The sequence below is a fragment of the Homo sapiens genome, chromosome 10, assembly GCF_000001405.40.
Source record: "Homo sapiens chromosome 10, GRCh38.p14 Primary Assembly".
NCBI lineage: Eukaryota > Metazoa > Chordata > Mammalia > Primates > Hominidae > Homo > Homo sapiens.
In genome coordinates, this window is record NC_000010.11 from 124,637,891 (window position 1) to 124,662,927 (window position 25,037).

Here is a 25,037-nt window from a genome sequence, read left to right on the forward strand (position 1 = left end):
GCCTCTCTGTGCAGGCAGAGGGAATTTCGCTCTCCATTCTGGAGCCCCCCGCACCCAGGAGCTGGTGGGCCCTCCCTGTCTGAGTGCCTCTGTGGGCTGCAACCCTGATGCCTGGAAAAACAGGGTCAGGTGGCTGAATGAAGGACTGAAATGATGATCCATTTGGGGTGGGATCCTGCCTGTCAACACTAGGACCGGGCCTGGCGCCATGGCTCACACCTGTAATCCCAGGACTTTGGGAAGCTGAGGCAGGCGGATCACGAGGTCAGGAGATTGAGACCATCCTGGCTAACACAGTGAAACCCCGTCTCTACAAAAAACACAAAAAAATTAGCAGGGTGTGGTGGCGGGCGCCTGTAGTCCCAGCTACTCGGGAGGCTGAGGCAGGAAAATGGCATGAACCTGGGAGGCGGAGCTTGCAGTGAGCCAAGATTGCACCACTGCACTCCAGCACTCCAGCCTGGGTGACAGAGACTCCACCTCAAAAACAAAACAAAACAAAACAAAACACTGGGACCGGTGCTTCCTTGGGCATGTTACGCAATCTGAGTTTCTCTTTTCCCATCTGTAAAATGGGGAAATAAAACTGCCCTAGAGGGGCTGCATGGAGTTGAAATGAGATCACAAGCAGCTCGGGGCTCAGAGGGGTTTGAACAGCACCTGATGGTGCCAGCTGCACCACGACAGAGGGAGTGACCCACGTTGCCCACGAGCAGCCCCAGGCAGACACAGCACAAGGAGGACCACTGACCACCTCACCCCACCCACAAACAGTCCATGAAAGCAGAGACCCCAGGCATGCTGGGGCGGGGGAGGCCATGCTGGCCCTCGCTGGCTACTGGAGCCCTTCAGGGGCGAGGACAAGGTGGCAGACCAGCAAGGCTTGGCCAGCACATCCCAGCACGTCCAGCAGGGCAGCTGGCCATGGACATGCCCGCTGGTGGTGGGTGTGGAAGGACATTCCTGGGCACATTCTGCTCCTCTGGGCTCAGCTGGCCCCACCTGCAGCGCCAGAAGTGAGTGGTGGGGACAAAGTATATGTAGGGCCCTGGTGTTCCCTGAGCCCCACAGGACCTGCTGGAGACTGCATTTGCTAAGGCTTTTCTCACCTGGAGGCAAACCAAATACTGGCTTAGCTATTGGGTGGAGATGTGGGGAGACTCACCCCAGACTTACCCACCAGGGACCCTTCCTGGGGTGGCTCAGCCTCTTGCCCATATAAGTCCCGTCTCTCTAACCCAATGTGACACCTGACAGGGAGCCCCTAGTTCAGGGCTTCTGGACCACAGGGATTCAGAGGTGGGCCATGGGGGGTTGGGTTCTGTATTTTCTACCAGGACCGGGCCAGACCCACCCCAGCAGGAGGTCAGGATTCTGTGCCAGGTTCAGGCACTCAGGAAATGTTTCCTTAAAGAGTACTGGAGGTGCCAGGAGATCCCCAAGAGGGCTGAGGACAGGGCCCATCCTCAGCAGTGGGCATGCAGCCCGGGGCATGCTGTTTGCCACCAAACAGACACAGAAATAGAAAATCTGCTCTGTCTAGCTGAGTGGCCTTGGGCGGGTCATGGTGGGCATCACGAGGCAGACCTCTCGAGGCAGCTGTGCAGGCTGGATCAGAAGGGGTCCTGGGAAGACCCAGCTCAAGGCCCAGGGTGCTTGGCAGGTGGGGCTCCCACTCAGAGGCCCAACTCAGGCTCCAGAAGGGTTGGCCGGGGTGGGTCTCTGTTCTTTTGACTTTCCCAGGGACACACCTCAACATAACTATGAATTTTCTGATAGGCTTTTCCCCCCCTTTCTATATTTTCCCCTTTTGTTCATTACTGTTTAAATGCTTGGCAGAATATACAAACACAGCGCCCGCATCCCAGAGTGCCTAGCTGCGTCTGAGTGAAAGTGCTGGAGACAGATGCCTGGGGCGGGCATGGGGGGACCTCTCACCTCCATCAGCTCATCATCCAGGCACAAGGGACAGGCTCTGCCAGCCTCCTTTTACACCTGGAGAGACAGAGGTTGGTTTGGGCAAACTCCCACCGAGAGGCAGTGGCAGGGCCAGGTTCAAATCCAGATCTGTCTGTTCAAAGCCTGCACCCACCCTTAACCACCACGCTGCACCTCACTGCTACCATAAAATACCAGAATTCAGGATGGCAGAAAATCACTTTCTACCCCTAGGAACCCCCAGCAAGCCTTGCCTGCTGCTTGGTAAAAATTCCCAACTACAAGGCTGAAAGCCCTTGGGCAGAGCCACCACACCAACTGGAGCAGCAAAGAAGGCAATTCAGGGAGCCCTGACGGCTGCACCTTGCTACAGGTGCATTCTCAGGTGCACCCCGTGGGCTTGTCTGCGAGTGTGAGGAGCAGCACAGCCTCAGGCCCTCCACACCTCTCCGGCCAGCACCCTCAGCCTGCACAGCTCTGCGCGGCAGGTTGGGGAGGGATCGTGTTCCTGAGCAGCCAAGCCTTGGCCCAGAAAAGGGCAGGCAGTGGCTGGGATAACAAGGGGAGTAGGGGGCACACCAAGATGGCCCCTGAAGAATGTGCAGGGCTTGGAGCCACCCTAAATCATTCTTAAATCCATGTGTTTCTTCCTGTGCAGAAAACCAACCCAAAGGTGGAGATGCCATGAATCCCACCAGTCCGTCATCCCCTAGAATCTTGTCTTGTCCTGGGAACAAAGGCAGGGCATTTCTGGAGGTTCGTTCTGGTGTCCTAGCAGCTGCAGAGCCTCGAATGATGGCAGAGCTAATGTTTACTAAGAATTTACCCTGAGCTCCATGGGATCGCCCCACTAAACCCTCACCTCAACCTTGGGAGGGGGCGCTACTGTCATCAGAGGTTTGGTGAGGCCACACAGGGAGTGAGTGGGGAGGATCTAGGTGCCAGCAGTCTGAATCCGGGATCAGGCGCTGACCACCATGCAATACAGCCCCGAGCGCAGGAAGAGAGGAGGAGGAAAAAGACAGCCCCCGCTGCGGCAGAGCAGAGTGAGGCAACAGCCCGGCAAAGGCCGCAGAGGGCACGCCCCGCTGACCCCACACTAGGAAGAGCCCTCAGCCAGATGGGAGGAAGGGACAAAGGCTGTGGGTATTTTACTTTCCTCTGGAGCATACCCCGCCTAGGTGACAAATGATGTGTGTGGGAGAGGCTGAAAGCACCCAGAAGACAAAACCAGTAAGACAAAACAGGAAGAAACCAGCACAGTGCCCAGAGCAGACACCCTCAGGGGCTGTCCAGAGTCCCGGGCAGCCTCCAACGGACCCCGACTGGCTCTCATCCAGTTCCTTCCCTTAAAGGTAAATGCTCACACGTCACACACATACCTCTTCCTCGATATGTTGGATTCACTTCAACATGTTGCAGTTTCTACAGTGACCAATAATGCTGGGGCCAGTTTAACTCTGAGCCCCCAGTAACCCTTCCAGTGCAGATGGGAAGTGTGAGCTGTGGTGGAATAGTGAGAACACTACCCCAAGACCAGCTTCAGGACAGGGCCCCAGCCTCTGGCTGAGACCATCACTGGCTCAGCCCAAGTTAGGAGATGAGCCAACTCTGTCCTGGCACCAACATCTGGTGCTTCAGAGAAAGCACAGAACCCACTGGGGAGGTGCCTCTCCTTCTATCAGCAAGTGGCTACCACAAAAAGGAACTGCCAGACAACCATGTGTCATCACTGAGGCCCATGTTCACTAGAAAACAGGAGCCGAGAGTCACGGGGAACTCAGAGATAAGATTCTAAAATCCTCGAGGGAGCAACCACCATGGCCTTAGGGGAAAAGCACCACCCACCCCCAACACACTGGATCCACTGTGCCTGCAAGAGGCCCCTTCCTTGGGAGCCAGAGAGGAGAGGAGCCCCTTCTTGACCCTCGGTCCCAGGTGTCAACAGGTGGGTCTTATTAAGACGGCAAGCACTGATAAGACTTACAGGTCCCATGAACTAGATCCTAACTATGTGCTGGGCACTGCGAAAGGAACTTGGCACACCGCGACTCGCTGGTTCCTCCAGAACCCCCAGGAGGCCTGTGCCAGTGATACTATTTTATAGTTGAGGAAACAGAGGCCTAGAGAGGCTGAGGAACCTGCTAAGGTCACCCAGCTGGAGAGCCGGAAGCCTAAAGCAGGTACACAACTGAACAAATGGCGTGCGTGCATACACGTGTGCATACATGCCCACCCTGAGAACGTGAGTGTTCCTCGAGGAAGAATAAGCCATCGGAGCCCTAACTGACAGTCACCACAAGTGCAGTCAGTGGCTGTGCCGGGCAGGCTCAGACCACAGGGCGGCCACTTCTGTCTCTCACCCTCAAGAACAGTAGCCCTCCCTGCTGAGAGGCTTTACGGGCAAGCTGCCATGCCAGCAGGTCCTAGAGATCTTAACAAAGGCACGGGCTCCAGGGAAGGAGAGGACAGCCAGAGCGCCATGCGTGTGAACACGTCCACAGTGACGGGTCTCACTCTCACACCAACGCCTCTCCGGTGGTTGTGACAAAAGCAAGCCAGTTTCAAGGGTGGGGCAGTGAAGGCAGTGACTCTACCAAAACAGAAGGGCAGCCCGGCATAGCCCAGATGTCACCTTCTCAAGCCTGATGACTCCCATCTGCAGAAGCTGCCCGGTGGCCCAACAGGCAGATGGGTGCTCAGGCTGGCTTGCAGGTGTCCCGCTCTGCCACAGCAGCCAGAATGGTTGCCATCCTTCGGCAGCAATGTCCCTGAGTGAACACGGAACCTGAAATCCCCGTGAGTCAGGATCCCCGAGACACAGGGGCACGTGCAACTGCCGATCACAGAAGCTTTCAGACAGTGACTCCAGGCAGAAAGGGTGGCCTTCTCTTCTTATGCAGTGGAATTGGTTCTCATTGTAAAATTAAATAGGAGCCAAGAATTGTCCCCATAACTGTTCCTGCAGGGTGGAGGTCGGTCTAGGAGAAACCTCTTGAAGCTGCAGCACACGGCTCTCTGGCAGTCCGGCAAGACTGCCTTTCTCCTTTCCGCATTACATGCACTCCTCTCCTTCCTTCTTTCATCTCTACCACTGTCTCCTCTAAGTAAGACCCCACAGTGTTTTCATGAAAGCAAGAAAAACGGACATTCCTGACGGTATCGTGGGACCTGTCGAGGCAGAATCGCTCACATATGCCTTTTTTCTCACTGTTAGCTTGAGATGATCTTAAAGAAAGAAAAGAAAGAGCACGAAAAGGACACACAAAACACAAACAAAAATGTCTCTTCCTAGATGGCCGACAGGAAATAAAGCTGTCTGTCTCTGGAGAGAAACGTCAATTGTTGGAACGCTCAGGTTAAGGGAGAATCACAGAATCAAGGATCACACTCACCCAGCTGAAAGCAAGAAAGCAACTTCCAATTGATTGAGGGGAAAAAAATTAATTGCAGCTTTAGAAAAATCTCTTCTGTGAGGCTGGGCTGTGGGGCCATTGAAGCCCAGGCGGCTCGGCAGGGCCCTCAGCAGTTCTCCCTATTCACGACGCGCAGGTGGCTGATAAATTTCCCAGGGTTTCTCGGCGCGGTGATTGCGCCTGGCTCTTTCAGCGTGGCTGCAGGAATCTATACAGGTCCACTTAAATCAGTCTGAAGCTGTGAAAGCCTCCATCACTCGTCGCCCGGGCCCGGCCGCCCAAACAGAGCCCCGGGAGGGCCAGCGGGGGGGTGCAGGGCTGGGAGGACAGTGCCAATTAAAAATCTGAGCCTGTGGGCCTTTCTCTCTCTTGTTTTCATTCCTACAGCTACATTGTGTCCACTGGCAGCGGATTCCAAAGGCGAAGAGGCTGCATTCACGGCCCGGAGCTTTAGAGCCGCCATCCCGAACCAGGCTAATTAAAAACGTGATTTCCCCCACAGGGCTGCCCCCAGGAGCAGTGAGGATGGAAGGCTCAGAAGATGAGGCACAGCGGTGCACGCTGGGCGGCTCCTGGAGCGGCCAGCAGGCTAGGAAGACAGGGCCCTTTCTGACCACCGCCCCATCCTCAGAGAGACACAGGGCATCCAGAGGTTGGAGATGCCCATCTGTACATGGCATCTGCCCCCAGAAAAGGCTGGTCCCTTGGGTCTCTGGAACATTCTAGTGTTTCCTGCTCATGCCAGGGGCCTCCACACCTGCTCGGGAAGAAAGGGCAAAACTGGCCTTGCTCCAACGAAGATGTGACTCAGGGTAAATTCACCACCCGGTGCCTGCTCCCAGGGCACCTGGTGGGCCACAAGCCACCAGGCCTTGAGCTGCTTATAGTTGGGGGAAGAGGGTACCCAGGCCTGGCCACTTTGCAGCTATTTGTCTACCGCCTGGTCACTTGGCCCCACCGAGCCTGCCTCAATTGGAAAATGCTGGTAAGGAGAGCTAGCTCACCGAGTTAGCTGGGCTAGCACAGTCATGGCACACAGCCCTTACCCAGTGACAGCTAAGACCGCAACTCATAGCACTACCAGTGGCTACAGCCCCTTCACGTCCTCTGCCAGCAAACCTAGGAGCTTTGGCTCTGCAAAGGCCAATTAGAACCCCCAGAGACAGGGCTGGGGCTGCTCACTGCCCGCCCTCCTTCCTTCCTTCCCTTTAGAATTCCAGGACAGCTCCTAGCCTAGAAATGAAGATGTGGGTGGCAACTCTGTTCTTTCAGTGAAATGCACATCACTTCTGGCTGACCTGCCTGGCACTCAGCAACCCTTCTCCAAATTACCAGGGTTTCCTCCTGGCAGGAACAGCTCAGAAATGTACCACTCAAAGGGTTTTGCCACTGAGGGAGGCCTGAGAGGTGACCTTCCTGGGGTGCTCAGAGAAGCTTGGGATGTCAGTTTCCCACATGGCTGTGGGTAGGGAACCCGAGAGTGCAGATGGGTCCTGGGGGTGGCAGCAGGGATGGGCATGGGGGAGGGAGGCAGAAGAGGGCCATTTGGGCTGGCTTTTCCAGCCAGAGCCTGCTCTGACAGGTAGGCTGGGAGATGGAAGGGGACGGCGCATCAGTCCCTCTGCTGCAGGACTCGGTGCTGCAAGAACATCTGTCCCTAAGTAGGTGATGGTGGCCCCTCCACATCCAGAGTTCTGAGGGGCCTGCCTCTTGCTCTCCCCCTGAATGCCAGGGGGAGGAGCCACATGACTGTCACCTGCAGGGCTGAAGCCAGGCCACAAGGCAAGGGCGCCAAGCAGAGGTCACCTTGGGGACCGCAGCAAAGTCATGACCAGGTTTAGCCTCAAGCAAGGGCCCAGGGTACCTGTGGCCACAAGGAGCTGGCTGGAGCCCTCGGCATAGGATGGGGTAGCCGGGGCAACTCGGGCCCTCCCTGGAGGCCTCAGGTGCAGAGTGGGCCCTGCCATCACCGCCATTCTGTGGTAAGACCGCCTATCTGCTCTCTCAGCCTCTTCCTCAACACAGTAACTGGGAAAATCCCTTCTTCTCTTTAATTTTTTAAAATTGAAAATGGAGAACAGTAATCATTGAGAGCAATAATAACAATAACACTAATTCAGAGTGCCCCCTCAGGCCCTGCTGAGAGATGCAAAATCTCAGCCCCTGAGACAGGCTCTAGGGGCCCAAGATGGGCCCACGCCGGCAGCATTCCCCACCCCACCCCCATTCCACCCACAGCCTTCCCAGCCTCTGCTGAAGGCAGACAGGTGAGGGTAAATTGAGTAGGGATTTTGCCAGGCAGTTGCTAAGATCACTCCAAGAATCCTGAAATCCTGATTAATGGGCAAGATGGCTCTGTGCTTTGGCAGTGGGTCTCAGGCGCCTTTTCTTATGGAAAGCAGCGACGCACACTGTTGGCGGCTGTCTGGCATAACGCCTGCTTGCCTGGCCTCATTCGAGGGGCTCAGGAGACCCCAGCATCACCCGGGAGCTGGCAGAAGTGCGCCAGGAAACCATCATGTGACCATCCTTCCCAGCTCCTAGGGACTTGGACTCAGGGATAGCCAGGATGGAAAACCTGGGGCCAATAAGGGTAAACAGCCTGTCCCGGGGGCAGCAGGCCTCTGTGTCTACAGGTAACAGGATGCCCTGCCGCCCAGCTCCACCCCACACTGCATGGCATTTGAGCTGAGTGGGCACCGAGAAGGTGCGTCTCCTTTGCCACTGCCCAATTCAGAAGGATCAGCTTTCCTGTCTGAGGCCAAACAGGTAACAGGGCCTCAGGGACTGCAGACACCAGGGAGGTCAAGGCCTTTTACTCCAGTCAGTGGTTCTCGACCACAGCAATGTTGCCCCCAGCTGAGGACCACTTGTCATGACTGCGGGAGGGGGAACAATGAGCATCTAGCGGATGGAGTCAGGGATCCTCCCATGAAGGACAGCTCTCCACAGACCCACAAGCCCCATGTCACTCCACATCACAGCGTCTCTCCCTCTGATTGCCTGTGTGAGTGCAGCTCGCTTTCTTTAGGCATTTGCTATGTGCCTTCAAGAATGTTTCCATCGTGGCTTCAATACAGATGGGCTGTATCTGCTCTGGCCCCGCAATGGGCTCAAACATCTTCCCCAGGCCTCTAATGCCTGACAGGAGAGAGGAGGAGAAACGTGCCATTCTACAGCCAAGCGTGTAAGGAATCCCAGAACAAACGGAACCGTTTTGTTACCATCTACCACAGGCCAAGGCCCTCCCATTGCTGTGCCGGCGCCTTCTGTTTCCTCCCTGGTCTTTTTGCTCCCAGCCCGGAGCCTCTGGAATACATGAGACGAGGTTCCCGATAGGTGCAGGGCTTTACGGCTCCCTCAGTATCCCTGCCCTCCAGCTCAGATGGCCACCCTGTGACGCTCTTTTGCCCAGTCTCCTCCTGCTGCTGGGAGACCTGGCCTCCAGCCAACCCCCTTATGTGAACTCTGACTTCCCTTCTTATCTAACTCATGAGCCTGCAATACTGGGGTGATTCATCCCATTACTTTAAGGGGAGGCTGGAAGCAGCCATGATGGATGCCAGGGAGTCTGGGAAAACTACTGGCATCTCTTGCCCACTGCAGAAGCACCCAAGGCAAGCAAACAGGCAAATGTGGGTGTATGGGTGTCGACCTCTCCAGGTTCTAAGTGAGGCCCCATCCCTGGAATCTCACACAGCCAGCCTCCTGGCCGGGCCATTCCTGGGTAGCAAGCCCTCCCTTGGCAGACCCTGCAGCAGGCGATGGGAACTGGGAGCAGAAGGAGAACAGCCTCCACCTCAGAGAAGCCCAAACTCAATGAAGAGGCAGGACTGGTGAGCGGCACACACTGGGAAGGGATGCACAGCGAGGCATCGGGGCCGCATGTGCTGATGGTCAGGCTGTGCTGGGCACTCTGCCAAGCACGTGGGGAAAATATCATCTCATTTAATGTGTATCACTGCCCTGAAGCTCTCAAGTTTATTACTAGACCCATTTCATAAATGGGGACTCTGAGTCTAAGTGACTTGGATGAATGGCGCAGAAAGCCACGGCAAATCTCCCTGTCTCTGAGGAGCGGCCCCAAGGCTCCAGGCCTCGGGTGTTTCTCTTGCTCATAAACCCCACTCCCCAAGCTGCGACAATCAGATTTTTCAGGGTCTCAAGCAGAGTGTTGATCTGTACATTTTGAAGTTCCAAAGGAACTGGAAGCTCCCTGTAGACAGGCAGGCAAGAGAAGAAAAGGAAAGCTGTCGCCAAGACCCCACCACATGCGGGAGCTTTCCATTAGCAGGACTGTCCTCAGAACAAGTGTGAGCAGAGATGCATGTCACCAATGCACTCGTGTGGCAGCTGAGGCTCAGGGAGGCAGGTATGTGTCCAGTGTCACAGCTAGGAAGCAGCAGAGGGCAGGGAAGGCCTGTACCCTTTCCATGTCACCCCATGGGGTGGGGTGGCTATGTCTCCCTCGGGGTCACCCCCTCCCCCAGGGCACCTCACTGAAGTGTTGAGGGCAGACCCAAGATGGCTGCTTGAGATGAGCCGAGGAAAATGTCTTCGGCTTCACCAGACACAGGAGGAGCTTCATAGCTCAAGGGATGACCCTGGCCTGTGGTCACTGTTTCCTACAAAGCCCAGAACAGCCCCGTGTGCATGAAGCAGGTCAGTAGCCACATGGAGCTATCAGCCAGCAGAGGGCTCAGGGTGGAGCCAGGGATGGGAAAGGAAGTGGGTGTGGGCACGGGGAGAGTCAACAGGAAATGCACTGGGGACGCCATGGGGCTGGCTGAGGCCTCACCACCCCCAGACTTCTGCATTCTTGGTTCTTCCTAGGATGCTGAAAATCTGCTTGGCCCTGCAGGGCACAATGGCACACCCTGCCTCCTCCAGAAAACCCTCTCTCTGAGAACACTGCAGCAGCCAAGCTTCTGGGAGGAAACCAAGACACATCGAGGATCCAAGGCTCTGGGAGCGTCTGTTGGAAAACCCCACGCTCAAGACCACAGGCCTGGGCACGGCAGAGGGCCAAGCCTTGGGCAGGAAACCTCCAGGATGGAGAGGGACAGATGGGCAGTGGGTGCCTCCAGCCCAGTGTGCCTGGTGCCCACGAGCCTGCAGTCTCCATGGAGGGGAAGGTCTGGGAAGCTGGGGTAGGATGGGCTGCGGCCTGCTGTGTCCTGGCCTGGCTCTCCACCACCTGCCATAACATCATCACACATCTCCCCGCTCCTTGGGAGCCTCCCCCATCTGTAAAATGGCAATAATGACCTCGTCCTGCCTGCCTCATAGGAATGCCATGAGACCTCAAGAATAATTGCCATGGGGCTTCACGAGGGAGAACCCACTAGAAATGCAACAGCAGAGCCCTCCACCATGCCCTCACAATGGGCCAGGCATGGTGCGTGCACCAACAAGCCCCTAAAGGTGCTCTTTTTTGCTTTGCAGATGAGCAAACAGGCTCAGAAAGGTTAAGTAACTTGCCCAAGGTCCTACAGATGAAACAGAACTCAGAGCTAGTCCACCTGTCCCGCCTGTTCGGGGCTCCTTTTGCTGCTAAGGGGTCTGGCCGGGATTAGCAATTGTGGGAAGCCGCCCTGAGAAGAGAAAGCACCGTCCCAGCCCTTAACGAATGTGCAGCGTCACTGGAGAGACTGGTGGTGGAAAGTGCTTGCCACAACAAGCGAGCCACTTGCGGGAGACAGGATGAAACTGGTGGGGGATGAGAGCTGTATCCTACTGACTTGCAGAAGCAGCTGCAGGCCTGCTGGGCAGACTGCCAAAGGCAGGCAACAGCAGCAGTGGAAGGCCAGGTCTGGTCACTGCCCCATCATCAGCTAACTTTCTAAGTGACCCAGGGCAAAGGACTGCAACTCTCTAGGCCTGTTTCACCAGGTACATAATGACAGGTCCCTTCCAGTTCTGAAACGTATAGGCTCCAGCTAGAACCTTCTGCACCTACCTCTTCAACCTCTAACCTGGGAGTAAGGAAACCAGCCTGGATTATTTCGAAGTTTCCATGTCTTCCAAGAAAAAATATTGTTGTCTCAGTAGATGGCAGCAAACTAACCCTGGCAGAGGCCTTCCTGCTATTGTTGGACCAGCTTGGCACCCTCTGACCACCCATCTGACCAAGCAGAATGGAGGATGGGGTAGAGAGGGTGCTACAGGGCAGGCTGGCCCAGGCAACAAAGCCATGGTGGGAAAGAGAAACAGCAGGCCTGGCCGGCCCCACCTCCAGGCAAGTCAGCAGCTGTTTCTCCCAACATGTCTGCCCTCCGTCGCATAACACAAGGTATTGCCAAAATCCCAGCCACTGCAAGGATGTGGACAATGCCTGTTCTAAACGAGCTTCCAGACCAAGCCTCAGTCTGCTTTCTCACAGCTGGATAAAGGCCGCCTTCCATGCAGAGTGTCCCCCTGTAAGATGGAGGGCTTACTGCCAGAGAGCTGCCCTACCCAGAACTCAGGCTGGCGGTGTCCCTGGTCTCCCTCACACACTGGGAAGTGTGCACTTGATTCTTTGTACTCCTTCAGACCCCAAAAGCAACCAAATATACATAAGTCCCCAAAAGCAACCAAATATACGTAAGTCCCCATAAGCAACCAAATATACATAAGTCCCAGGAAACGCGCCATTCATTTTAAGTCCATGGTGCCTTTAGGAAGACACTACTGTTCCCATTTTTTAGATAAGAACTCTGCGGCCCAGGGCAGTCACTTGCCCAGGCCCTCTCCTCGCAGGCTCACTCCCTCTGCACTTTGCCTGCAGATTTCCAGCCATCTACTAGATATTTCTAGCAGTAAAACTAACGTCATAACAAGACAAGCTGGCGACAGGTACAGATGACATAATTATCGATCAGATGACTTATCTCCCTAATGGAGCTGGGATATTCTTAGTAATATAATTAAGTATAGGATAATTTTACAATACTGTAGGCTGTGCCCTGCTCCCAGAGTAAGCACTAAGGAGGCAGACCTCTCCCTCCAAGGAAGGACTCTCTATCGGTTGGAGGAGGCCAAAGGTAAAAGAGGCCCAGGTCATCGCGGGACAGGTGTCGTCTACCCTGAATCTGAGAACCAGGCATGAGCCTAGGTCTTCTAAGCGTTCCAGTTGGACCCTCCACGCTGGATGATGACAATGATGGTGGTTTTGGCAGTGGTGCTTGTGACGCTGAAAGTAACGGTGGTTATGGTGATGATGGTGATGACAGCAGCTGCCATCTGCCAAGCACGCACAGTGTGGCCAGATGTGCTAGGCGCTCTACACCCTTTGGCCTATGTGATCTTCACACCAACCCTGTGAGGCAAGTTATTCTTCTCATCTCCACTTTACAAATGAGGACGCTGCAGCTCAGAGTTTACCTGGCCAGAGCACAGCGAAGCCGAGAGCTGAACCCTAACCCCAGGACTCCAGAGGCGCTGTTTTCTTCCACCTAATGCCTCCCAGAGTGAGGCATTCCTCCTCCAGAAGGAAAACTACTTCTGCAGATGACCAATTTCCAGACTATTTCCCCAGTACAATGTCCCCAGCCCTGCTAGGAGGCCAATATTCCTTTGCCATCAGCCATTTGTTTCGAGAGAGAGATGTGTTTGAAAAGAAAGGGTTCATCCTAAAGTGGATTTTCTGTGCCCTAAACTCTGAAACCCCCCTCTTGCCTTCAACGAGAATGAAAACAAACCTAAGACAACAAAGAAAAAAGAAATGCGAGGACTCACGGGCGCTGAGTCACACCGAGAGGCTCCACGCATGTGAATTAGCCACGCCAGACACTGGGAGCCCCCCAATCTCCCTTCAGAGGCCACTTCCTGCCCAAACCACCCCAAAGCCAAAGCCACTGCAGCAAAGGTGGCAGCAAGGCAGGGCCAGCTGCACTCAGCACAGGGGCAAAGCCAAGCCTTCTGTCCTTGCCGGCCTCGGTTTCTCCCTTTGTGCCACAGGGAGACAGAGCCAGGTGGCCACCACCTTGCCCTCAGACGCTCTGTTGTGGCCTTGCTGCTAGCCTTTTCCAGGAGCTGAGGCCCCAGGGCCCTAACTCAGTTCCCTCGTGTTCCATTTCCCTCTGCACCTTCCCAAAGGTGCAGAAGGAGGCTGGAGGGGTGCGGCTGAGCAGAGGGTGCTGCCTGGCATCCTCCTGAGCCTGCTCTGCTCTGTCCTCCCAGCTACACAGGACAGGCAGGGATGAAGCTAAGAGGGCTGCCAGGGGAGGCAGTATAAAGGCATGCTGTGGCCCCTCACTGCTGAACTGCAGGCACTGTAGCAGGGAGCCCAGCCGCTGGACGGAATCACAATCCCACACACGGCACCAGGGACCTGGACTATGCACCCCACTCCTCCTGCTGCTCTCCCCTGCCACCCCCACCTCCGAGACAGTGAGGCCCAGCGGCCTCCTCATTTCCTCCTCAGGGGAGCACTGTGGAGACTGTCAGCTGACTTCCGACCCTGGGGCCTGCCTGCTCTGGAGGGTCAAGGTCAGCAGAGCCCCACAGATGTCTAGCCCCTGCCTCAGGTCGGCAGTGACTGGGCACTGGCACATGGCGGGGACACGCCACCCCTGCTGTCTACTATGACTGGGCCTGGAACGTTCACGCCAGCCCCAGCGTCAGGACAACTGCGACTGAGGGCGGTTCTCAACCCAGACAGCCTTTGCTTGCTGGTTCCTTTATTTGTCCCCCATCTGTGAAGCATCTGTGGTCCACCAGGTGCTCTCCTGAGCAATGTGAACTCAGGGGCCAGGAAGCGAGGCCCCTGCCCTCCAGGAGTCCCTTTCCAAAGGGCATACCTGGAGAATTTCAAAGCCAACATCAAAGTGTGATAAGCACGAGCATGCTTTTGAGGCTGGAATTATCCCCTCTAGTTTTTCATTTATAGTCCTCTCTTCCACTTGGGTCCCAAGACTTTCCCAAGTTTGTCCCTGCCGGTGTCCAGCAATGGTTATGAAAACCCGCAGAGGGAAAAGCTATCAATTCCCAACTGTTTCTACTCAGTAGGTGTCAACCATAATACCAGGGCTTAGGACTAGCCAGGGTCTTACCATGTGCACAATACGTTCACATCCAGCCGTGCCCAGGGGTGAACTGAGCAAGGAACTCATGCCCAATTCACAGATCAGGAAACTGAGGCCCTGGGCAACACCGGGATGGGCTGAGTTCATGCTGTTGTCAGGTGTCAGAGGAGGCTGTGGCCACAGCCTTAGAGAGAAGAAGGGGCCCGGCCCACAGCTGCACTCACATCTGGTCCCAGCCTGTCACCCACGGTGATAACCCTGGGTGACCATGGCCAGCCACTTCCCTCCTCTGGCCTCAGTGGCTTCACCTGCAGAGGCAAGGGGTCCAAGGAGGTGAGTGACATTCAGTGTTTCCTGGTGCTCACATTCCAGGGCTATCACAAACACCAGTCCCACAGGTAGTGGGAAAGGACAGTATGTATTTTAATGACACAAGGAAGCCTTGTGGTGGAGGGCCTGAAGCAGCAGCATTCCCCATCTGTCCTATATGGCTCCAGTTCGGGGTCCACTTCCTTCAATATGGAAGGTAGCAAGAGTACCCAGGGAACGGCCGAGCAAACCACAGAAAGGCAAAAATCTACTAGCTGGAACCCTCAGGCTAGTCCCCAGGGCAGAGGAGCCTCTTGCCTCTCCAGCCCACACAGGCAGACGACGCCCTGTGTTGGTGTGTGCTCGACCAATCAAAGGAGCTGTAGACAAAATGGCCCTACCTTCCCTTGTGCACCCAGATGCCTTGGCCAGGAGGAGACTGTGCTGCCAGGCCCTAAGAGGTAGGACCCACGTGCCCTTGAGGCCAGGACAGCATTTTTCAACCAGGTCCCGGAGGGCTCTGCAGATAACTAAGTTAAACAGAGCCTTGAGGGCTGCCTGCCTCACCTCATGTGCCCCAATGACACTGGTAGGGCCTTGCTCTTCAAAAACTATTTTGATAGGATTTTTATCCCTGCTCAGTGAATGGGGAGAAGCCCATAGGCTTGGATATGTTTCTCAGATGCAGCCCCAAGCTCAAGGCCAGCCAGGAGGTAATGTCCTCCAGATTTCCAGAAGAGCTGTGCCTGAGGCTGGGACAACCAGCTTCCTTTATGCCAGGAGGGTTGGAGTAAAGCAGGGGCTTGCCAGAAGGGCTCTGGCGTGGGGACCCTGATGGACTCAACAGGGGCATCTCACAGAGCTGAAAATACCCAGGCACTGCCAGGGTCCCGGATGGCCAGGCCTCACTCTCCGTGTTACACTTTCAAGAGGTCTTGCAAGAACAAGATGGGCTGCGGGCCCCTGCCAGGACACTGGCCCAGCTGACGGCACTCATCTGTAGGGCAAAGAGGCCCAGCTGGGTCTCGCTGGCACAGTGGGGTCAGACTCATGAGCCAGACTTGGGTCAAAGCCCTCTCTTAACCACTATCTTCTCAGGGTAACCTTGGCCAGGACCCTCCCAGTCTCAGCCTCGCTTTCCTTGTCCACATGGCCCACGCAGAGCCTATCTCAGAGGGATCCTGTGAGGAAGAAATGAACAGGATGCAAGAACGCACTTTGGGACCTCCAAGGTGCTGGACAGATGGGGGAGTCCATGTGTGGCCAGGTCTGGAACACCTGCTGCCCAGTTCAGGGTTGATGCCAGCTGGATTCTCCAGCTTCTTTATACTGACCAGTGCTGTGCAGAAACTCAGCTAGAAAGCCCCAGGAGCCCGGTCCCACCTGGTAACCTTCTGGAAGCCGACCAGGCAGCTCCAATCAGCACCCTTCCTGGGCTGAAGTCTGCCAGGTTGCTGAGGACGCAGGGAGGAGGGGCATTCAGAGCCATTAAGGGATCTGCTGGACACCAGCCACATGCCTCCTTATTTGGAAAAACTGTGGCTCTGGGAACTCAGGTGCTATCCTAAAGAAAGAGGCTCCTATCCTTGCCAAAGGAAATAATTAGGAAGCATTGTGAGAAAAATGCATGTTGTGAATGAAACGCTGCGCCCAGCCATGCGAAGTGCGATTGTCATCGTCATGCAACGCTATGGTGCTCAGAAAAAAATCTTCAAACAAAGGACCTGGAGCCTAGGGCCTGGCCCTCCCAACCCCTGGGTCTGAGCGGACTTCCTCTCTCCACACCAGGACAGAAACTGGACCACACTGGAACATCAGCTCTGGGAAGGGCCACTTCCGGTCTGTGGCCATGCTGGCAAGGATGGGAAGGAAGAGCGCTCCCAGGGAGGTGGTGTTTGGCTTCCCAAAGGTCTGCAGTCATGCGGATGGCAGCAGAGATGGTGAGGGCTGACTTTCCACTTACAGCAGAACAAAGAAGGAGTTACTGGAAGGCAGAATCCGCCTCTGATTCATCTCCCCGTGGCCCTCCCTGCCCAGGGCGAGGGTAGAAAGCCCGACTCCAGGCATGTGCCAGGGTCCCCACCCCCAGCTCGGGTGGTGGCAGAACCCACTCCCTTCCACTACAGAGGAAGGGACATCTCTGCGGACATGAGTGGTGTTGTGGGTAGGGCTGTAGGTGTTTGGCCTTCCTGAGGCCTGGGACCTTCTGCTCCCCCAGCTCTGAGTCCCTGGGTTTGTGAGCAGGCCCCTTCCAGAAGGAGGTAAGGAGGCCCCGGCGTGCCTCTGCTCGCCCTGTCTGTGTCTGGTCTAAGGAGCTCCATGGGGGAAGTCACACCAGGCCCCTCGGGCTCCTTTTGAAAGCAAGACAGGCAGGAAATGCACAATGATTGCTTTGCCAACAGCCAAGACTGCAGTGAGCCACAGGTCCCAAAGCGTGCCCAGGTTACAGGAGCCCCAGGGGCACACAGGTGATGGGCTTCTGGACAATCCCGTTTTAGATGATGGCAACACAGATTTGAGCTCCAGGGCCCGGGGCTGCCTCCTCAGGCCCAGCTTAGGGGCCCATTCATAACTTCACTCCACATTGGACACTCTTGGCTGGAGAGGGTGGACTGACCACAGTGTCCTGTCACATTCAGGTGACAAGGCTAGCTTCAGGACATTCTCATCTCCCATCTCCCCACCCACACCCTGGGACTACCTCCTGGACACCACCCAGTCTCACACAGCAGGAGGCCATTCAGAGGCTCAGCATTTCCACATGAATTCAGGTGTCAGGACCTGCTGGCCTGGGGAGGGGCCTGAAAGCCACACCCTCCTGGGTGTCAACAGGAAGACTAGGGGCTCCTTGAACTTGCTACCTCCTTGGCTTTCCCCACCAAGACATCTCATCCCACGAAGCTTCTCAGGACGATACCAGCAGGAAACACGGGATGCCGAGGAATGAGGAAGAGCTGCCCAGCACTGGGGCTCTGGAGACAGCCTCTCCTTGGGGTGAGCGTGGCCACTCCAGGTAACGCCCACTGTCATCCAGGGACTGCTTAATGGCAGAGCTGGGGCTCCTGACTGCAGCAGGGGTTCAGCAGGCACAGATGAATATCCAGCAGCCTGTTCTCTGCTGGGGTCCCTCTGCCCCAGCCACAGCCAGCTCCTCCCACACACGCCAGCCTTGGAGGTCTCTCATTCCACGCAGAAGATCCTTCTACTTCTCTGCTCGTCGCCTCTGTCCCACTACCCATGCTCCTTGTCTTTGCAGCACTTACTTTGTCCAACACAATCTGCTTTGCTCTTAATATTGTCTATCTGTCTACACTAGATGGAAGCTGCCAGAGAGAAGGGCCCATGGCCATCCTGCTCCACACAGTCCTCAGTGCCAAGAGCAGTATGTGCACACAGCAGGTACGTACCAAACAGAACTAGCCCCAGAACGGGATCCATCCAGCAGCAGGCAATGGGGCATTGCTTCTGTTTTTCCTGCTCTACAGTACCAGCACGGTACCCAGCACACAGTAGGTCCCAGAAAGACACATTGAACAGGTGGCAAAGAGAAACCTGAACATGGGTCCTTTATGAGTACAAAGGAAATGAGGAGGAGGCCTGGATTCTGCCCACTGGAACAGGGCAAGGCCCAAGATCTGGGAGGCGGACATACAACCAAGAGGCGTCTAGGTTTGCTCACTTACAGCAGGCACTCCCACTGTGGAGGCGCAGTCTGGAGGCACCCCAGGCCCCACGATAAGCATGCTCTGAATGATCAAGAGAGCCAAAGGCTCCAGGGAGCCCTGCTGTAGTGGGAGCGCAGGTGTTCCCCGACGCCATGGCCCTAATGGAGGGCTGGTTTGGGTACAATGCCACAGTGAACACAGACCCCCTGAACTCACATATAGACTATTTGTTAAGAACAAAACCAAACTAATAGTAGGGCACTGCTCCATCAGCACCGTTGCTCCAGTGTCCATGGCACAGACCAATATTGGAAACGACTGTTGTTCACGGACAGGCTGGAAACAGTTGGTCAAATTGTGCTTGGTGCGGCCAGGCCAGCCCAGCCCCTAAGGCCAGACAACACGACCCTCCCGAAGGGACAACAGGGTTGATGAGATCATAGGTGATGTGCTGCCCTCCCACTGATGGAGTGTGTTCTGTGGTGTTAAAGAGGAAATAGCATTATTACAAACTAAGGATACAAGAGCATCAACATTCACAGTCTTTGAAACTGAACAGCCTAAAATAATTCAATTCTATGTTGCACAAGCCAGGAGTTTTTTTAAAAACTGTGACAACACTTGGACACAGGAAGGGGAACATCACACACCGGGGCCTGTTGTGGGGTGGGGGGAGAGGGGAGGGATAGCATTAGGAGATATACCTAATGTAAATGACGAGTTAATGGGTACAGCACACCAACATGGCACATGTATACATACGTAACAAACCTGCACGTTGTGCACATGTACCCTAGAACTTAAAGTATAAATATATATATATATGTATATATGTATATATATATGTATATATATGTGTGTGTATATATATGTGTATATATATGTGTGTGTGTATATATATGTGTGTATATACATATATATGTGTATATATGTGTGTATATATATATGTACATATATATATATATATAAGAAATGGCAGTATACAGATTAAAAGAAAGGAAAAAAAACTGTGTCTGCTTTTCATATTGGATAGAGTAAGAAACCAGTGCTAAGCTAATATATTTTGTTTTAACTCATGTTTCTTTCCCCTTTTTAAAGCAACAAATTCGTATTTCTTGTCATTGTTCCACACATTGGTAAATGATGATTTAAAATCTGTATTTGCACCTGTGGAATCCATGGACTCCTGGGGCTAGAAAGGGTGTCAAGAGTCACTTCTCAGCGTTATAACTGCTCAGAAAAAGGACTGCAAGGAACTACACCAAATATTTAAAGATCATTATCTCTGTAGGTGGATTTCAGAGGAATTTAAATTTCTGTTCTTTTACATTTCCAAACTATATTTTTTCTCTTCTGAACTTTAAACTTTTTTACAAGTATGCATTAATTTTTTTAACCAGTAGAAACAGTAAATGTCAATGAATGTGAAACTGACATACTCCTGAGCTGATATACAAGTGTTTGTGCCCTCTACTAACAAGAATATTACCATTTACCATGAATTGAGCATTTGTTGTGTGCTGTTAGCCCTGAGCATGAGACAGACATTTCACCTAACTCCCTCTTTTCATGCCCATTTTACGAATGAGGAAACAGGATCAGAGAAATCCAATGACTTGCTCAAAGTCCCACAGCTAGAGCCGCAACCAGCTCCATCTGCTCCAAAGGCCTTGCTTGCAGCCAGCCTACTCCACAGCTTCTCCGCAGCCAGGAAGGTTCCTTTCTGCTTGCTTGCTTTTCTACGCGGCCACTGAAAGCAGCTGTGACGATATGTAGGTCATACTAACCACAAATATTACCAAGACCACGGAACTGGGTGGGCACTTTGGCAGCATCTTGGTTGTGACTGGTGACTTTTCTCCCACAGTCAAAGAACCAGGTCAGTTCCCAGGCTCACCCAGCAGACAGTCTGGGGCAGAGACAGGGGCAGCGAGCAAGAACCCAGGGGAGGGGCTTTGCTACGCAAGAAACTAAGGAAAACACTGGTGTGCTTGGGGATAGGGATCCCGCTTGGCAAATGCGGAGGCCTCTGGCCATATTCGGTGCTGCCATACACAATGCCACCCAAGGAGGTTTCAGGTCCAGAAGCGCCCCAGGTCACCTCAGCAGGAGTCCCAGGCTATGGACCTCTGAATAGATGTCAAGGGGGACCCTCCTGCCCATTGCCACATCCCTACCCTGGTTACATGTTACTGGTGTTTCTCAAAGGCTGCTTTGCCAAGTGGGTGGCCCCCACTCATACATGCAAAATGGGCTAAGAGGAGTATTCTTCACCCCTTCTAGGAGACACAAGCATATTCAGACCTGGAGAAGTGTCACCTTAGTGAGATCTATTTAATGGTGCTGGACCTTTGAGAACCATCCATACAAGTCCTGGAGAACAGCAAACTACCGTGGGAGAGAGGGAGGAAGGTGCACACGGCATGTGGAGGAAGCTGAGATCCTAGGAGCAGGCCAGGTGCCTCCAGCAACATCCCTGCACTTCACCCCGGCAACCCAGGCCACAACTGCAGTGCAGTGAGCTAAAGGGCCACAGCCTGGGGATGGAACACCAAGGCCACGTTCCCTGCCTCCACCCATGCTCCCCGTGTCCGCCTGTCAAAGCTTCTCCAGCCTGCTGGTCCTCAAACCCTGCTCCCTGTGCCCCCACTGAGGCTGCGCTGCACGGGCTCAGCACACAGACTGCTAGCCACACCACCCAAGTTCAAATCCCTTACCTGCCTAGAACCGGCACCATGGCCCTAGGTGAGTTATTTAATTAGGTCTGTGCTTCTGTGTCTGTGGTGGTAACCTGGCATGACAATAACAGTAGCTGTGTCCCAGATACTGGGATGGCGATGGTGGGGATGGGCAGGTTTGGTGGCTGACGTGCACCCACCCCTTCTGCCAGCATCTTGCACATCATGGGAGCTCAGTGTACACTGACAGGACTTGCAGGACACATACAGCCTTTGAAGCTAAACTACCCTTTGGAGAATCGTGACTCCCTCCACCTCTAGCCTTCCTGCTTTCAGCCATGATAGGCCTAAAGTCTGAGCAGAGCTGCTCACCAAGGAAGGACTAAGAGGAGCCACAAGGAGCAGCTTTATTTAAAGGGAGAGATACAACTGATCAGCAGCTTTTCCTCCTTGCCCCTCATCTTTTCATTGTCAGTTTCAAAACAGGCCAGTGCTAGGGCCAGAGCTAATAGCAGTGGTGGAAGTGGTCTTGGTTACAGTAAGAACTTTCTAACACATTTCTGGGTCCCCAAAGATGCTCCAGCCCACGCAACAGCCTCCTGGCTCCAGGCTGGCTGCTGCAGGTTTCTCAGACAATGGCAGCATCTGCCCTGGGACAGCCTCCACTGCCTAACTTTGAGGTGGGGCACAGGATAAAACCACAGCCAGCTGAGGCTTTTAAATCTGAGCCAACCATCCCCACCCTTATTTTCACAGAGTGGCTGCAAAACCACCTTGCCGGGCCAAGCTCCATTACCACAAGCTCATCTCCTCTAGCAACTTCTGAGCTGGCTGTCCACCTAAGGGGCCAGAAGATATCTGGCTGACAGAGTTTTCTGGGTCCCAGGCCAGAGTCAACTTTGCTTTTGTTTTGTTTTTTGAGACGGAGTCTCGCTCTTGTCACCCAGGCTGGAGTGCCATGGCACAATCTCAGCTCACTGCAACCTCTGCCTCCCGAGTTCAAGCAATTCTCCCGCCTCAGCCTCCCGAGTAGCTGGGATTACAGGTGTGCACCACCATGCCCAGCTAATTTTTGTATTTGTAGTATAGACGGGGTTTTGCCATGTTGGCCAGGCTGGTCTCAAACTCCTGACCTCAAGTGACCCACCCGCCTTGGCCTTCCAACGTTCTGGGATTACAGGCATGAGCCGCTGTGCCTGGCCCAGAGCGAACTTTCTAGGGGTTTGTCTTCAGTGGCGAGAAGCCCAGTGCTGCCCTCGCTGTTCACGTTTGGGTTTCGTTCCACCATATGGAGCGGAAGAGCCCCACCAAAATGCTTCAGGAGACAGAGGAAATTGAGGCAGCAAACGAACGCAGAGCAAACGATCCATCCTCGCTCTGGCCCACACTGTCTCAAGCATGAGGGCAACACAAGACAGCTTGGAAAAGACATCTCACTGGGACCAGACAAGCAACCCAGCTGGTACGTCCAGAGGAATGCCCCAGAGTAATGCCATTTTCATTGTAAAAATTACACTTTTGTGCACTGAGATCCGTTGAATACAACTCACCCTGATACCAAGGCTCCAGTTAGCCAAGCTTCACGAGCACTAAGTGCCCCTTTCCCACAGCCCCCTCGCCAGCATGCCTGCTTATCACCTGGGGGGGCATGGGAAGGGCCCACTCGAGGCCAACGGTGAGCACGGCAGAGCCTGAGACAGCCGAGCCAGCTGCCTTGTAGCCCTGCCACATTCCTGGGCCCTATCGAGGGCCAGCTTTAGCTTTTGGTGAGAAATTGCCAAGCAAATCCAGTGACTTTCCAAATGGGGAAATCGAGACGTAAGGTCATCTAGATCAGGTGCCAGCAAACTTTTCTTAGAGAGCCAGAGAGTAAATATTTATGTTCTGTAAGCTATCGGGCTCTGTCATAATGACCCAGCCCTGCCACTACACAACCCTGCCGTTGTAGCATGAAAGCAGCTGGAGACAACATGTATGTATCCAGGCAGAGCTGTGTACCAATAAAACTTTATTTATAAAAACAGGCAATCACTACATATTGGGTACAATGTACACTACTTGAGTGACAGGTGCACTAAAATCTCAGACTTCACCACTATACAATTCAGCCATGAAACCAAAGGCCACCTGTACCCCAAAAGCTACTGAAATTAAAAAAAAAAAAAAAAAAAAACAGGCAATGGAAGGATCTGGCCTGTGGGCTATGGTGTGCTGACCCCTTCTCTGAGGTGACAGCTGTCACCACTCCTGGAAGACATGGCCATAACTGGAGTCATGAGTACAGTGAATGTCCCCTGAATCAGGAGGTTCCAGGGGTCTGTCCACTCAGCAGATCTATAGTTAGCATATTAAACGGAGGTGTGTCGCATCCCACACAGAACTCAACAGACACTGGGACCTCTGTCCTCTGTGAGTGTTCCCCAGGTCATGCTGTGATGAGAATGGTCCCCAGAAGGTTGAGAGAGGCCCAGGAGCAGAAGGGCCCATGGCTGCCCTCTAACCCACCTCAACTGCAGAGGAAAAAGGCAGAGTCTAGCTCTCCTTGTAAGCCAGGCCTCCTGAAAGGGCCCAAACAGGATCTGACACCTGGAATAAAAGCTGCGCCTGTCCTGTGCTTTTCCTTCTCCCAGCTGGTGGGCTCTGAGACAATCTTACAGCCACTGTCCCGCACTGCGAGGTCTCTCTAGGCCTCAAGGCCAGGGCAGTGGGGAGGAGGGAAGGGACCTTTTACTGTCCTCTGCCACCACCACCCCAACACCTCTGGTGCCCTGTCAAAAGCACGAGGGGGTTCCTTCAACAGGTTCCTGGGCTCTACCAAGGCCACCATTACTGCCCCCGTTTGGACACTGCTCGTTGTCCCCACTTAAATTCAAGTTTCAGATTTCAGTAATGATCCAATCTTAGCCTGCTTCATCCACAACAGTGACAACTGTCATCTTAGACTGTCTTACATGGCTCTGACGGCTGGCCTAGCAGGGGCCAGAGCAAGCTCCCTAGATGACGTCATGTGAGATCCCTGCTGCCATCCCAGGTCTGGGCTCCGATCGGTGAGCCCGGCTGCTTGGCTGCCTCACACCAGGGATCCTCATGTGTCCACCACGGCAAGGCAGGAAGGCCTAGCCAACCCCTCACCTCCATGACTCTAGCCCTCACTGGACCAGACCCCTTTGTGGACAACACCTGAGATGGGAGGGGCCTGGCACCCAGAGCCCTGCCCAGACCCCCTCCTGGGGAGTGGAACAAGCATGGGCCTCATGGCCACAGCTGGTCCTGTGACCGTGGCCGCTACTCTGAACCTCAGCCTCTTCCGTAAAACAAGCACAACAATACCCACTTTCCAGGGCTGTAATAAAGATAATCCACAGCTACACAAACGCTTAGCACAGTGCCTGCCACACTGTCCCCAGTAAACAATGCTGTCATCCTTGCTTACTAAGTATCATCAATGGAGGAGCTGATGTGCCCAATGGGGAAGAATCCAGGCCTCCTGCCTCAGTTTGTGAGTTCGTTCGTCCGTCCATCCATCCATCCATCCACCCACCCACACACCCACCCACCCATCCATCCATCCATCCATCCATCCATCCATCCATCCATCCATCCATCCATGTATTCAATAAATTTTTAGAGGGTGGGCACAGTAGCTCACATCTGTAATCCCAGTGCTTTCGGAGGCTCAGGCAGGAGGATGGCTTGAGGCCAGGAGTTCAAGACTAGCCTAAGCAACATAGCAAGACCCTGTCTCTACAAAAAATTAAAAGACTTAAAAATTAGCCTGGCATACTGGCATGCATCTGTAGTCCCAGCTACTTGGGAGGCTGAGGTGGGAGGATCACTTGAGCCCAGGAGTTCAAGGTTATAGTTAGCTACGATCACACCACAGTACTCCAGCCTGGGTGACAGAGCAAGATCCTGTCAATCAATCGATTTTTGGGAAACCACTCACACCTTGGTAGGTGCTAGAGGTCTAGTTAAAGAACCAGACAGGTACAGGCCCTGGCCTCAAGGGCCAGCTGTCACCAC

The 25,037-nt window shown here is 54.2% G+C and overlaps 1 protein-coding gene across 1 annotated transcript in view, besides 15 other annotated features; it reads right to left on the reverse strand.

Moving 5' to 3' along the window:
• The window catches only part of FAM53B (family with sequence similarity 53 member B), a 125,087-nt gene that overhangs the window by 18,599 nt on the left and 81,451 nt on the right, over positions 1-25,037 (reverse strand). The window lies entirely within an intron of this gene.
• Positions 323-823: an enhancer, noted in NCBI's record as "H3K4me1 hESC enhancer chr10:126326782-126327282 (GRCh37/hg19 assembly coordinates)". NCBI's record gives its function as "activates a minimal SCP1, AML or CMV promoter by ChIP-STARR-seq in naive H9 embryonic stem cells {active_cell/tissue: H9 hESC(naive)}" and the evidence as "EXISTENCE:reporter gene assay evidence [ECO:0000049][PMID:30033119]".
• Positions 1,982-2,721: an enhancer, noted in NCBI's record as "H3K4me1 hESC enhancer chr10:126328441-126329180 (GRCh37/hg19 assembly coordinates)". NCBI's record gives its function as "activates a minimal SCP1, AML or CMV promoter by ChIP-STARR-seq in primed H9 embryonic stem cells {active_cell/tissue: H9 hESC(primed)}" and the evidence as "EXISTENCE:reporter gene assay evidence [ECO:0000049][PMID:30033119]".
• Positions 3,353-3,402: an enhancer, noted in NCBI's record as "active region_4170". NCBI's record gives its function as "activates an Ori minimal core promoter by ATAC-STARR-seq in GM12878 lymphoblastoid cells {active_cell/tissue: GM12878}" and the evidence as "EXISTENCE:reporter gene assay evidence [ECO:0000049][PMID:35858748]".
• Positions 4,200-4,937: an enhancer, noted in NCBI's record as "H3K27ac-H3K4me1 hESC enhancer chr10:126330659-126331396 (GRCh37/hg19 assembly coordinates)". NCBI's record gives its function as "activates a minimal SCP1, AML or CMV promoter by ChIP-STARR-seq in naive H9 embryonic stem cells {active_cell/tissue: H9 hESC(naive)}" and the evidence as "EXISTENCE:reporter gene assay evidence [ECO:0000049][PMID:30033119]".
• Positions 7,200-7,249: an enhancer, noted in NCBI's record as "active region_4171". NCBI's record gives its function as "activates an Ori minimal core promoter by ATAC-STARR-seq in GM12878 lymphoblastoid cells {active_cell/tissue: GM12878}" and the evidence as "EXISTENCE:reporter gene assay evidence [ECO:0000049][PMID:35858748]".
• Positions 9,890-10,184: an enhancer, noted in NCBI's record as "tiled region #4217; HepG2 Activating non-DNase unmatched - State 8:EnhW, and K562 Activating DNase matched - State 5:Enh". NCBI's record gives its function as "activates a minimal TATA promoter and a strong SV40 promoter by Sharpr-MPRA in HepG2 and K562 cells {active_cell/tissue: HepG2 | K562}" and the evidence as "EXISTENCE:reporter gene assay evidence [ECO:0000049][PMID:27701403]".
• Positions 9,890-10,224: a biological region, named in NCBI's record as "Sharpr-MPRA regulatory regions 4217 and 14470".
• Positions 9,930-10,224: an enhancer, noted in NCBI's record as "tiled region #14470; HepG2 Activating non-DNase unmatched - State 8:EnhW, and K562 Activating DNase unmatched - State 5:Enh". NCBI's record gives its function as "activates a minimal TATA promoter and a strong SV40 promoter by Sharpr-MPRA in HepG2 and K562 cells {active_cell/tissue: HepG2 | K562}" and the evidence as "EXISTENCE:reporter gene assay evidence [ECO:0000049][PMID:27701403]".
• Positions 10,377-11,219: an enhancer, noted in NCBI's record as "H3K27ac-H3K4me1 hESC enhancer chr10:126336836-126337678 (GRCh37/hg19 assembly coordinates)". NCBI's record gives its function as "activates a minimal SCP1, AML or CMV promoter by ChIP-STARR-seq in naive H9 embryonic stem cells {active_cell/tissue: H9 hESC(naive)}" and the evidence as "EXISTENCE:reporter gene assay evidence [ECO:0000049][PMID:30033119]".
• Positions 10,377-11,224: a biological region, named in NCBI's record as "Sharpr-MPRA regulatory region 12473".
• Positions 10,930-11,224: a silencer, noted in NCBI's record as "tiled region #12473; K562 Repressive DNase matched - State 5:Enh". NCBI's record gives its function as "represses a minimal TATA promoter and a strong SV40 promoter by Sharpr-MPRA in K562 cells {active_cell/tissue: K562}" and the evidence as "EXISTENCE:reporter gene assay evidence [ECO:0000049][PMID:27701403]".
• Positions 10,958-11,158: a silencer, noted in NCBI's record as "fragment chr10:126337417-126337617 (GRCh37/hg19 assembly coordinates)". NCBI's record gives its function as "represses an EF-1alpha promoter that drives an FKBP-Casp9 reporter gene in an ReSE screen in phorbol 12-myristate 13-acetate-treated (for megakaryocytic differentiation) K562 erythroleukemia cells {active_cell/tissue: K562(+PMA)}" and the evidence as "EXISTENCE:reporter gene assay evidence [ECO:0000049][PMID:32094911]".
• Positions 11,039-11,128: an enhancer, noted in NCBI's record as "active region_4172". NCBI's record gives its function as "activates an Ori minimal core promoter by ATAC-STARR-seq in GM12878 lymphoblastoid cells {active_cell/tissue: GM12878}" and the evidence as "EXISTENCE:reporter gene assay evidence [ECO:0000049][PMID:35858748]".
• Positions 13,304-13,413: an enhancer, noted in NCBI's record as "active region_4173". NCBI's record gives its function as "activates an Ori minimal core promoter by ATAC-STARR-seq in GM12878 lymphoblastoid cells {active_cell/tissue: GM12878}" and the evidence as "EXISTENCE:reporter gene assay evidence [ECO:0000049][PMID:35858748]".
• Positions 20,681-21,567: an enhancer, noted in NCBI's record as "H3K27ac-H3K4me1 hESC enhancer chr10:126347140-126348026 (GRCh37/hg19 assembly coordinates)". NCBI's record gives its function as "activates a minimal SCP1, AML or CMV promoter by ChIP-STARR-seq in primed H9 embryonic stem cells {active_cell/tissue: H9 hESC(primed)}" and the evidence as "EXISTENCE:reporter gene assay evidence [ECO:0000049][PMID:30033119]".